Genomic DNA, 13,938 nt, shown 5'->3' on the forward strand with positions numbered 1-13,938 from the left:
ATGAGATAATAACTGTCAGTTATGATATATCTGTTAACTCCTTAAGATGATTTCCTCTCCCCTTTGGCTGCTGGCAGTCTGCATGCTGGGATAAAAAAGAGAAAACTATCCTTTATTGGGAATCCATAATGTGTCCAGTGCTTTATCCATATAATCATATTTAATTTTCTCACTACACTTTTGGTAGGGTAGAGGGTAGTCAAAATCTTTACTTTTACCTGTTTAGGGTATCCAGCTGAGTCTGAGAGTTAGATTGACATAAGACGGATTAACAGGAGAAAAGCATACAAATTTATGTAATATAAGAGCCTTCATAAGGAAACGTTGACTCAAAGAAGTAGCAAAACCTGAATGCTTATAGGCTGGGTTGAACGAAGAATCACAAATATGGAAAAGTAACTAAAACGAATGGAGACACTAAAGGAAGAGTAGAGTTATTTTTAACAAGGTCTGTTTGTACAGAATCCTCTAGTCCCACCTCTGGTGATAAGAACATTTCTTTCCTCCTGGCATAAGGAGGGCAGCTCTTAGGAGTTACATCTGCTTTCAGGAAGAAAAAAGGGGAATGAAAGTGTCCTTCTTGTGCCTGTTTTTCAAGTGCCTTTTACTGAAAACTCAAAACCAGTAATATGCCTACGTGGCCAATTTTGGGATGACATATCCTCAACCCCTTCAAGGAGTTATTATCCTCTAATTACTAATGAGGAAACTGAAACAGATATTAAGTGATTTTCCAAAATCACCTGGGCAAACAAATGAAGGACTGGAACATTGGTCTACATCTGTCTGTCTCTTCACCCTCAAAAACACAGCTCAAAGCCAAAAAAAACTTTAAAGTCAGATTTTACTCTCAGACACGGAAAATATACCAATGATTACAGGTAATATATTTCTGTACTTCTAAAATCTTATTTTCTAATGTTTGCTCCCTAGGATTTTGGGGGTTTTTTTTTGGTTTTTGTTTGTTTTTGCTTTTTTGCTTTCTTTTGTTATTTTGCTTGTTATTGATATATTAGTGAAGTTAATAAAGCTTTGGATGTTGTCACAAGCAGCTCATGGACTTTATGGCAATTGCCTTTTCTAGAGCCCACTTATTCACAAATTTTCTCTTTTGATTTATACCTTTACAAAGTGTTTCACTGTTAATATTGTTGGTTGCTAATGGTCAAACCTACTTTGGAAAGAATTGCAGTATTAGAACATTTTAGTGCAGACGTTAGAGATTGTAAACATATAAATTGCTCACAATAGAGTCTCGTAGAGCTCAAATTTGGCACTCAGACTTGTTACTAACATAAAAACGTGATTGAAATTTATTCACAGCCAGTTACAAGAGGGATAAATGAGGAAAAAAGAGTAAAAAGGTATTTAAAATCAATAAAGATACAAATGTGAGGAAATAATGCAATAGGCACAGAAACATGTGAAAGTGTCAAGAAAATAATGGATTACACAAAAATTAGTATTGCTCTGAAGTATAAAGTCTTCTCCAAATTATCTTACTTTTCCAACTATTATGATGCTACATGATGCTACATGTCTGGCCCACTGGTTCAAATTTTGAGTTTTACCCTAGAGCAATAGCAGTACTAAGTCAGCAACTCTCCCTATCATCATCCAAGGATACAACCCCTTGACCTTTGATACAGCATGTTAATCAGTGAAGTATTTTAAAAATCCTTTTACAGACACTTGCTAGTCTTTGGCAATAGTTTTAAAATAAACTGAAAAGTATCTCTTTTAAAGTTGAAAGAGTACTAAGTAGTTGAAGATAAATATGTTCTTGTGAATAAAATTTTGTCCATGTTCATAAACAAAAGGTCTACATTTGTTTCTCATAATCCATAAACACTTCATAAGAAAAGACCTATTTGAAGGTTGATTATCTTATTAAAACAGGAAAAAGAACACCATTTTTGAGAAATTGGGGGTGGCATATATATTTCTAATGTGGCTTTTGAGAGACAAGGTTTGAATATGGCCCAGGAACTTCAGAGGTACTGTCATCACAATGGCTGGCAGAAGCAAAAATACCATAGCTCTCTGAAGCGCCAAGGCTTGCGGAGAACACCTGTGACTGCAGGTGGCTCTACTTGAAAAGAACTGCACCCCTTTCCTCTTCAATGGGGGGCACCGTGTTCCACAGTGGGTCAGAGGTGACCAGGGTGCTTTCAAGTTTAGTTTTATAATTTTGAAGAACTGGATTGTGAGCACTGACAAGTTCCCAATTTAGCCCGTTAAAAACATAAAAGTGGTTGGCTTTCCCTCCTTTAACATAAACCTTCATTCACTAACTACAGCAAGGGATTTCATCTAGCGACCTTCTTTTGAAATCCAATTTAAATTAAATGATTGATTTTAAGATTTTGCCAGACATATACTGGGGCTTTAAAAAAAAAAAGTAATCTTTATAGTACTCTCAATGGAGATTAAGTCAGGTTAGAAAAAAAAAATTGTCACTAAAGAGTGATTTTTTTTCCCCTGCTACCTTGTATACAAATTATTTATAGGAGTCTAGAAGACAGAACAGCACCAAATCTTAATACACTGAAAATATTTTGACACAATTGCACTTTTCAAGTATAAAATAGCAAACAAGGATGTGGCGGATGCATTCCTGTACTGGGCAATGGCTAAGAAATTTCTGACTAAAATATAATATGAAAAGTCAGAACTCATCTGGTATAGTACATTCAGTTCAGTATTCTACATTTAAGAGGGATATAGACAAATTCAGGTTTGTTAATAAATAAGAATTCAAAACCAAGTAATGCAATAGGAAAAACAATTGGGGGAAAATGGAAATACAAGCTCTGGAAATAGAAGCAGCCCAGGGTATAATATTCAAAGGCACACGATGTAGAAAAGTGATTGGATCGGCTTTGTGAGCTTCCATGGGTTACAAATTGGTAGACAGATTCTAAACTCAATATAAAAAAGAATTTTCTAATGGAGAGACCCGTCCAAATACGAAATGAGCTATCTTACAAGATCAGTTTCATCTTCTGAAGACCTTCAAGGGAAAGGTGAATTAGGGATGCTAAAGAAAAGACTAAAGATTAAACTATAATATTGAGGTCCTTTCCAAGTCTAGAGTCTGAATTTTTTAGGATGAGAATTGTCTATAATTGGACAGCTCTCAAGCTGATAAAGAGGGCATGTCAAAGTAAAATACAAGCATATAATGAATAGCATTAGTTAGTAGAAGAAATAAATATAACTAAGACATAGTTTGCAAATGCTTTTTTGATGAAGAGTCAGGGAATATCCAAACACAAGCAACGTGACAAGTTTTTGAATTATGAAAAACAGGATATACTGAAGAAACACAAGAAAAACCTCAAGAGAAATCATATTGGAAAAAAGCATTTTTGACATCATGCCTAGTAAAAGCAAACATTATTACTAATCTTACTAATATGCATTAATCAGTACTAACTTAGCAGTGGTGGGAAGAAACAAACACTAGTTTAAGAGCGCAAACTTTCAAATTATAGGAATATTAGAACTTTTTAGGCAGGAATGGTTCATAAGACATTTTCTTTATCAAGATTACGTATCTACTAAAATCATGCCACTTTTACAGTGTTAAATCCACGCTCCTTTAAAAAAAAAAAAAAAAAAAAAAACTTAAAGAAGCTCTCTGGTTCCTCATGTTGCCTCTTCCTGCTGGCTTTATTCTGCGTTTGACTTTAATGTTTCGTCAAATCCATTCCAGATTTCCATTTGATTTCGGTGGACTTTGAAGATGGATCACCACGCTCATTAGGATGAAATTCTTTGGGAATAATTTTATTTTCAAAGTAAGGATTTTCATCAAAATAAAAATCTATCCTGTAACCTGATTTAATATCTTCAAATTCTGTCACTTCAACTCTGGTCAAATAATGCAGTGCATCTTCGTCCTTCTCCCCAAGCAGTGCGAACACTGGTGGATGGTTGAGAAATGTTGTTACCCCCAAATTTGGGATGTTGGCGATCAGTTCTGACCTCTTCTGAAAAAGTGGTTGGCGGAGTTTGTTACATTTCTATTCGACTTTCAAAATCTCCTCACATTAAGTCTATTTCATTTTGTACTTCATCACTGTGTTCAATTGCTTCTTACTGTTCTTCTTGTCCCTTTTTAGGCAAGCCTGCAGGAGCAGATGTCTCCTTGGGTCCCACAGCAGGAGGTGGTCCAGAGAGCTTCTTTACCTGATTTGCTGACTATTCTGATGCAGGTGTGGATGAGTTAGGAGAGTTCATCAAAGACAATATTTGGCCAAAACCATTACAGTACTACTTGGTTCCTGATATGGATGATGAAGAAGGAAAAGGAGAAAAAGATGATGATGATGATGACGATGATGACGCAAAGGAGGAAGGATTAGAAGATACTGATGAAGTAGGGGATAAGGATGAAGGTGAAGAAGATGAAGATGATGAAGGGGAGGAAAGAGAGGAGGATGAAGGAGAAGATGACTAATAGAACACTGATGGATTCCGACCTTCCTTTTTTAAAATGTTCTCCAGTCCTTGGGAGCAAGCTGCAGTCTTTTTTTTTTTTTTTAATCTTGTCCTCAGTCACCCTGTTCTTGAGGTCTCTTTTCTCTACACCATGATTCTCAACTTATTTTGGAGAAAATACCTTGAGCAGAATAGAACAGGAAAAGAGTCTCTACCCCTTTCTGTTCAAAATTCATTTTTATCCCTTCCTGTCTGAACTATATGGAATCAACACCCCCAAGCTCTGTGGGAAAAAAGAAAAAACCTGCTCCCTTCACGCTACTGGAATCTGGAGGGTGCTAAGTCCCTGTGTAGTAGTGCATACAATTCTAGTTTTTTCCTCCTTTCTCTGTATATTGGGATCAGAGAGCACACTGTGTCTCTATGTGAATATGGACAGTTAGCATATACCAACATGTATCTGTCTATTTTCTCTTGTTTAAAAAAAGAAAAAAAAAACTTAAACAATGGGGTTATAGAAGGTCAGCAAGGGGTGAGTTTGAGACGTTTCAGTGGGTTAAGTGGGCATTTTGACAATATGATTTCTCCTTTGGCATGTTTAATTGTGATATCTGACAGACATCCTTGCAGTTTAAGATGACACTTTCAAAATAAATCCTCCCCTAATGATGGCTTGGGCCCTGCCACTCAGTGGGAGAATCAGCAGAACCTGTAGGGTCTTACTTGGTATTAACATTCTCTATTGTAATTATGTTCTTGTTTATTTTTAAATTTTCTCTTTGTTTCACTGGAAAGGAAAGATGATGCTCAGTTTTAAACATTGAAAGTGTACAAGCTTTGTTACAATAAAACTAAACGTGTTCACACACACACACCAAAAAAAAAAAAAAACCCTTAAAACTACTGATAGCATTCATAAACTCTGAAACAAAGGTAAGTTGCTTAGTGAACCCCAAAATCTGAGTTACTTTTTTTTGTTTTTTTAGAGTCAGGTCTGGCTCTGTTGTCCAGTGGTGTAATCATGGCTCACTGCAGCCTGAAACTCCTGGGGTCAAGTGATCCTCCTGCCTCAGCCTCCCAAGTAGTTGGGACTACAGGTGCACACCACCACTCTTGCTTCACAATTACTTTTAAAGCATCTATCTCATCTAATATTACTAGGTCAACAATTTTTAAAATATCTTTCTCTATAAATTTGGTGTGTGTCCCCTATATCTCAATCTAATCTAGGGGGGGAAAAAACCCTACCATAATTTCTGAACTGCGAAATTGAAGATTAGTTCTCAATCAAAATGTTCTTAATTGGCATTGATGTTCTAAGTGACTGCATAAGCAGCAGATGTCCCTGATTTGACTAAATTAAAATACAAGTTGCTTTTTAAGAATCTATTTGAGGCCAGACATGGTGGCTCATGCCTGCAATCCCAACTCTGTGGGAGGCCAAGGCGGGGGCTGGGGTGGGGAGTATTGCTTGAGCCCAGGAATTTGAGACTTCTTTTCTACAAAAAAAATAAGGAAAATCAGCACGGTGACTCATGCCTATAATCCCAGCACTTTGGGAGGCTGAGGTGGGCAGATCACAAGGTCAAAAGATCCAGACCAGCCTGGCCAACATGGTGAAAACCCTTCTCTACTAAAGATACAAAAAATTAGCTGGGCATGGTGGCACGTGCCTGTAATCCCAGCTACTCAGGAGGCTGAGGCAGGAGAATCGCTTGAACCCAGGAGGCGGAGGTTGCAGTGAGCCAAGAGATCATGCCATTGCACCCCAGCCTGGGAGACAGAGTGACATTCCATCTCAATAAATAAATAAGGAAAATTAGCTAGGTGTGGTGGCATGTGCCTGTGGTTCCAGCTACTTGGGAGGCTGAGGTGGGAGAATCGTCTGAGCCCAGGGCCCAGGAGCTCAAGGCTACAGTGAGCTGTACTCCAGCATAGGTTACAGAATGAGACTTTTTTCTCAAAAAAAAAAAAAAGTTTTGTATTGTTTTAAAAATAAAGAATCTATTTGAAAATGTATTAGCTATGTCAATAGGTTTTTGAAAATGAAGACTACTGCCAAATGCCGTCAAGAGGGAATACTTAAATAATTATTAATCGTGGGTATATTTTCTTCCAGCTGCTTTAGAATTTGTATGCAAAACCAAAATTCTTAAACTTTTTATCTTGAGAAAGCTGTAGATTTATATGCAGTTATGAGAAATGATACAGAGGGGTACTGTGTTCACTTTACCCATTTTCCCCAAATAACATCTGGAAAACTGTGGTACAATATCACAGCCAGGATATTGGCATCAATACAGCCAAGATACAGAACAATTGTGTCACTAGAAGGAATCCTCTTGTTCTTTCATAGTTGCATCCAGAGCACTCCTGTTTTCTCACCACCACCCTCAGCCCTGGAAAACACTAATTTCTTCTCCATTTCTTTGTCACTACAAGAATGATAATATAAATGGGATTAAACAAAATGGAATATGTCCCTTTGGGGACGAGCTTTTGCTACTCCACATAATCCTCTGGAGATTCATTCAAGTTGTGTGTATTAACAGATTACTCATTTTTATTGCTGAGTAGTACTCCATGATATGGATGTACTACACTCTGTTTAATATACTGAAGAACAAGTGGGTTGTTCTCAGGTACTGGCTATGATGAATAAAGTTACAATGAACATTTAAGTGTATGTTTCTGTGTGAAAACAGTTTTAATTTATCTGGAATACATATGCAGGAGTGCAACTGCTTGCTGGCATGTATGACAACTGCATATTTAGTTTTACAAGAAACTACTACATTGTTTTGCAGTGATTATAGTATTTTACATGCACACCAGGAATGATCCAGTCTTCTTGAATCCTCACCAGCATTTGGTGTAGTTACTATTTTAATTTTAGCAGTCTGATAGATATGTAGTGATATCTCATTGTAGTTTTAGTATCCATTTCCCTAATGATGTTGAATATATTTTCATCTGCTTATTGGCCATCTATATATTCTGTTTTCTTGCCATTTTATGATTATTTTAATTGTAGCGTTTTGACACATTTATGTATTGTGGATTTGAGACCTCTTTGGGTATATGCTTTGCAAACATTTTCTCTGAGTTTCTAGCTTGTCATTTCATCATCTTAACAAGAACTTTATATCACAATCTTGAAGTAGTCCAATTTATCAATTTTTCCTTGTATTGACAGTATTCTCATGTCAAGTCTAAGAACTCTTTGACTAATCCTACAGCTGAAGATTTTCTCCAGTTTTATTTTTCTAACATTTTCACATTTTACGTGTTAATCTATAATCTATTTTAGTAAACTTTTGCATAAGGTAGAAAATTTAGGTTGAAGTTTATTTCTATGGATGTCCAACAGCTCTCGTATCATTTGTTGAAAAGTCTATCATTCCTCCACTGCAATGCTTTTGTGCTTTTGTCAAAAATTAGTCGTGCATATTTGCGTAGGTCTATTTCTGGGTTGTCTATTCTGTTCCATCAATATGTCTATCCCTCCACTGATACCACACAGTCTTGATTACTATAACTATATAAGAGTAAAAATTGGGGAGACTGATTGCTCCCACTTTATTCCACTTTTACAAGATTGTTTTAAGTGTTCTAATGTTTGTCTTACCATATAATTTTGAAATAATCTCTATGTCTACATCTGTAAAAATGTCTTCCAAGAATTTGATAGGAATTGTCTTAAACAGCTTTTGATTTGGAGAAAAATGACATCTTTACTACTTTGAGTTGTCCAATCTGTGAACACAGTATGCATCTCCATTTATTTAAATTTTCTTTTTTCATCAGTGTTTTATAGTTTTCATTATACATTCCTGTATATATTTTATTGGATTTACATCTTACTACTTCTTTTAAGAGAGAAACAACTTCAAGGAAGGGATGTAGGAAGGGAAAGAGAGAAGGAGGGAGAGAATAAGTGTTTATAAATAGTATATTTTTTAATTTTAATAACCACCTGTTCATTACTAGTATATAGAAATACAACTGCAACCTTGCTCATCTCATTTATTAAATTCTGGAGGGGTTTGTTTAGATTCCTTGGTATTTTCTATATTCTATATATACAATCATGTCAACCACAAAGAGAAAGGAAAGTTTTATTTATCCATTCTGATCTCTATGTCTTATTTTCTTTTCTTTTTATTTATTTTTGGCTTTATTTCATTAGCCAGAATTCCCAGCACTGTGTTAAATAAGAATGGTGATAGTGGACTTCTTTGTCTTGTTCCCAAAGTTAGAAAGAAAGAATTTAGACGTTAGCCACTAAGTATATTGTCACATTTCAGTTTTTAACAGATCTTCTTTATTAAGACTTGACAGTTCCCCTCTGTTCCTATTACTCTGAGCCATTTTATTTCAAATGGGTGTTTAATTTGGCAAAATACTTTTTCTTCATCAACTAATATAATTTTTTTCTTCTTTAGCTTGTTACTGTGTTGTGTTGGGATTTTAAATACAAAACAAGCTTAATATTTCTAGAATAAACCCTACTTGGTTATGGTGTATAATTCTTTTTATATATTGCTGAATTGTATTTGCTAATATCTTGTTAAGAATTTTGCTCCTAATTCACGAGGAATATTGACCCGTAGTTATCTTCTTATTACTATCTTTATCTGGTTCTAATATTAGGGCAATACTGGCTTCATAAAATGAATTGGGTAGTGTTCCTTCTTTTTCTCTTTTCTGGAAGAATCTATACTAGATTAGTGTGAATTCTTCTTCAAATGTTTCAGAAAATTGCCCATTGAAAACACATGTACATGTAGGTTTTCCTATGTTACATGCTTTTAAGTTACAAATTAAATTTTATTAATAGTTACAGGGTAATTATAGTATTTCAGATTTGGTAAGTTGTGGTAGCGTTTTTTTAGAAATAGATCCATTTCATCTAAATTACCAAATGTATGTATGTAGAGTTATTCCTAGTATCCTTTTACTGTTATTTTGATGTCTGCACAGTGACATAAGTTAAAAATTAAAGAGAAGGAAACTTTATTGTATTTAGCCGTACTTTTACTCTTTCCATTTTTTCTTCTCCATTTCATAGAATGTCCATTAACCATTCTAGGATAAGTCTGCTGGCAACAAATTATCTTAGTTTTCGTTCATCTGAGAATGTCTTAATTTGATCATCATTCTAGAAGAATATCTTCACTGTTTTCTAATTAATAAACTTGTAAGAAATATCTTAATGCACAAAGCATTTTTAACTTATAGTTGGCCTACAGCCTTAGAATAGATTACCTTATATTTAATAATTCAATGATCATTCTCTAGGACTTATTAACGTAAGTACTCACAAATTGTTTTCCAGAAAGCTTGCAGAAAATTAGACACCATGAAAAAACTGTAGAGAAGTGATCCCTAGTTGACCTCAGAAAACTCAACTCCACACTCCATGATTCTACATGATCCCACTGAAAAGGATCATTTTCGTGTTAATTTTTAGGCAGGACAAAGAGGAATAAACTTTGAATAGCAGTGAGAAGTTTCTTTCGCCTTTGACATTCTAAATCAGGAACTGTTTCCTCACATGCCGTTTCACCTTGGCATTTTGCTTCACTTTTCTCTCACGGTTCAGAAATTTCATTGAGGATGCATATCCTATCCTGAATCTCCCTTTGTATTAAGAGGTTAGAAATGAATTTAGGCCAACTCTCATTTTACACATGTAGAGTAAATCCTTGAAAAAGAAGCATTACTTAGTTACTTGCATACTTACTTGAAAAATTAAGACTACAGCTAAAGTTATTGATGTTCCTTTAGTGATATTTGCTCTTCATAAATCTACTCATCAGTCATTTTCTCAGCCTGGAAAACTGCTACACACCCAGAAAAGAAACACTGTACCTAATATACTTTTGGAAATCTTTGAACTTATATATGAGATTCTTTTTAAAAAAATGACTCTTTAAATTATATCAAAATAATGCAAACATGCAGAAAATTACTATAATTTTGTCATCTATTGCAAGGAACATGTAATTTTCATTCACTTATTTTTAAAACGGTATCTCTGGTAAAATCATCAATAATATTGATATATTTAGCATTTGTCTCTGCCCTATAAAAAGAAGAATAACAACGATATTCTGCAGACCCCTCAGCACCATGGCTAAACTATGCATGTAGTATTCATTCTATAAAAAAAATTGTCCTTCATATTATCCAAGTCTTTATGAACTTGATCCAAATTTATCTTGTAAATATATCTACACATACATATATGTTAAGATAATCTACCATTTTCTCACTTAGATGGAACAAAATGGTTTTATGGTCTTCTGCTATATCTATCCATGTTGAAATTAGAATAAAAAGAAACATATTTCACATATATTAAGGGTACAACTATAGATTATCATGCTAATTTTTTAAAACTGACAATTAGATTATTTATTTCATTTGAGTGTATATGTCCACATTTGCATTTTAATATAAATTGTTTATTGATTCCATTAATCAAGAGAAAATAAAATGGGAGGTTGGAAATTATTAACACTTAACACATCATTTCATGGGGGCTCATTAAAATAAAGGCTCAAAATTATGACTATGTGGGATGGAAGAAAATTATAAAGCAAATAATTATATACATAATTGTTTTAAAATTATCCTCTAGGTTGGAGACACTCACATTTAAAAATTCTTTAGGGACTTAATTAAAATAGAATTATCACTTTTCAAAAATATGACCAAGAGATTTAATTTTGGCTTTTCACATTTATTTTGACATTTTAAAATGCATTTTAATGTGAGGAAACAAAATACCATTTTACATTTAAAATGAAGTTTTTCTTTTTACCTTTTTTTGTAGATCTCTTAGAGTAAAACCTTTTCATAGCAAGTTAAAAAACGTAGCATTAAAATGTCATCACCATTAAAAAACATATACATTTATGAGCTAAAATATCTCCATATTTAAAAAAATATACTTTGCAAATTAATTTATTTAAAAATAAATCATAATTTTTATTTAAAAATATTGCTTTCATAAATTCCTCAGGAAACTAAATTAAATCAATGACATAAAACAGCAATTTAAAAGGCTGTCATATATGACAGCATGAGAAGGTCAAATTATTTTTGACATGGAAATAATTTTTTTTTTTTTTTGAGATGGAGTCTCGCACTGTCATCTAGGCTAGAGTGCAGTGGCACGATCTCTGCCCACTGCACCCTCCACCTCCCGGGTTCAAGTGATTCTCCTGCCTCAACCTCCTGAGTAGCTGGGATTACAGGGGCCTGCCACCACGCCCGGCCATTTTTTTGTATTTTTAGTAGAGATGGGGTTTCACTCTGTTGGCCAGACTAGTCTTGAACTCCTGACCTCGTAATCCGCCCGCCTCGGCCTCCCAAGACATGGAAATAATTTTTAATAACAAAAGCCAAAATTAATGGCAGACCATCTTGTTTTAATATATGAAATTTAAAGAGCACTTAGTATATATACTTTTATTTTAGAAAGTATTCTAATAGTTAACGAGCATTTATTTGAGCACAAGCATATGCTATGGAAATAAAGTCAAAAGGCAAGTCGCTGAAATGACGTGGTCCGGTAAAAAGAGTAAAATGGGGAGGGTTTTTATTTTGGGAAGTGTAATTTATACAATATTAGATTTGTTTAAGTAGATTATACTTAAACAGTATTTAAATAAAAAAGGAACGTCCTGATTGAGTTGCAGTGAGGTGGCGGGAAGAATGTCAACCAGGCAGGAATGAGGATGAGGACAGGAGATCTTCTATGAAAGTTTCTTATAAGGTAAGAAAGATATGTGGTCTTAAAATATAAGATAGTCCATAAAGCAGAGGAGGAAGTGCATTCCAAATGAAAGGAAATGTCATGTGTAAAGTCACAGAGACTCAGTATACGAGAGGACAGCAATACCTAGGAACTCTGCAGGGAGACGCTCTCAGCAAGAAGGACCTCACGGAGGCGGGCCCCTGACCTTGGAGTTCTCAGTCTCTATCACTGTAAGAAATAAATTCCTTGTCTTTATAAATTACCCAGTTTCAGTTACTCTGTTATAAGCAACAGAAAAGACACCACTGAATGTTTTCCATTTGTGAGTCACATGTCAAATTTGCATTTTAGAAAGCTTACTCTGCACTTTGGAGAATACATTTGGTGATGGATTGAGTGTATTCGAATCAACTGTCTCTCAAGGTTACCTTATAATTATACCTCCTGCTGTGGCTTATTATTTAATGCTATAATTTAATAGATTCGACCTAGAAAATTGTGAATCTTTTTATTGTTGCTATCATTTTGGAAAAGTTAAGTATATGAAAATGTAAGGGAAATGGAGAAACACCATTGTCATTCAAACATTTTTGAGGGGATCCTAAGAGACTGCCCTCCTCCTGGCTTTCAAAGAGCCCTCGTTGTGACTTAAGGGAAGTCACAGCATGCTTTGGTCTCCTTATAAGGCTGTTCCACAAGCCAAAATATTCAGTACCCTCATCCAACAATTCTTCACCCCCCAACAGAAAATTACTCCTAACCACATCTTTTGTACCTACTATCCTTCTTCGGCTGTCCTGTCCACACTTATCCAAATTAGAATTCTCACGGTCTATTACCCGAATCATTCCTTTACATCACTCTCCTAGTCCTAACAAAACTCCACCTTAGTTGAATTTGATCCCTAAGGAATCCTATCACATTTCCTTAGTGAACTACTCTCCCACTCTTGCAGTGGACAATACCATATTTCCTCTCACCTGGAATTTCCAATACCTCTCCCTCATTCACTTTCACTGGATGGTCTTGCCTTTTATTTAAATGAGAAAATGGAAGCAATTAAAAAGCATCAACACCCAATCAAATCTACCTCTTTCCCTGCAAAAAACCAATATACTTCACCTACTTTTTTATTACATCAGATAAATTGCCCCTGCATTTTTCTAAGAACCCTATCAGCTAAATCCCATCAGCTGAACTATCACCTACCTTAAAAGAAACTTTTTGACTTTTGACCTCCATTCCAGCTACCAAACCCACTTTTCTACTACTTTGTAAATATCCTCTCTCTATACATAAAAGTTTTCTACACTTGCTGCCTTCACTTTCTCACTTTCCATTTTCTTCTTAACCCATATGAATCAGAATTTCAGACCAATCATTCCAACAAAACCATTTTTAGTCCAAATAAATGACCACCATGCTAAATCAATGGCCAATTCTCAATCCTCATCTAAATTAAACTCTGCAAATGCAGCTGGCATTTTGAGCACTAACTCCTTCTAAAACATGCTTATTTAAATAGGTCCTCCCATTTCACCTGCATATCCTTCTTTATCTTCTTAGCTTCCAGCTTCTGTTTTTCTTCCTGACCTCTTTATGTTAGAGTAACTTGGAGCTCAGTAGCTCAACCACATCTTTCTTCACACACACTCTTCAGATGATCTGATACAAGCTCACTGCTTTGAATGCCCTTTACAAACAGATGATTTCTGACTCAAATT

General features: G+C 34.9%; 1 protein-coding gene and 1 pseudogene across 2 annotated transcripts in view; both read right to left on the bottom strand.

The window, feature by feature from the left end:
• GBE1 (1,4-alpha-glucan branching enzyme 1) overlaps positions 1-13,938 on the bottom strand; it is a 271,943-nt gene that overhangs the window by 118,912 nt on the left and 139,093 nt on the right. The window lies entirely within an intron of this gene.
• SETP6 (SET pseudogene 6) lies at positions 3,632-4,192 on the bottom strand (annotated as a pseudogene).

Source organism: Homo sapiens, chromosome 3, assembly GCF_000001405.40.
Source record: "Homo sapiens chromosome 3, GRCh38.p14 Primary Assembly".
In the NCBI taxonomy this organism is placed as follows: Eukaryota; Metazoa; Chordata; class Mammalia; order Primates; family Hominidae; genus Homo; species Homo sapiens.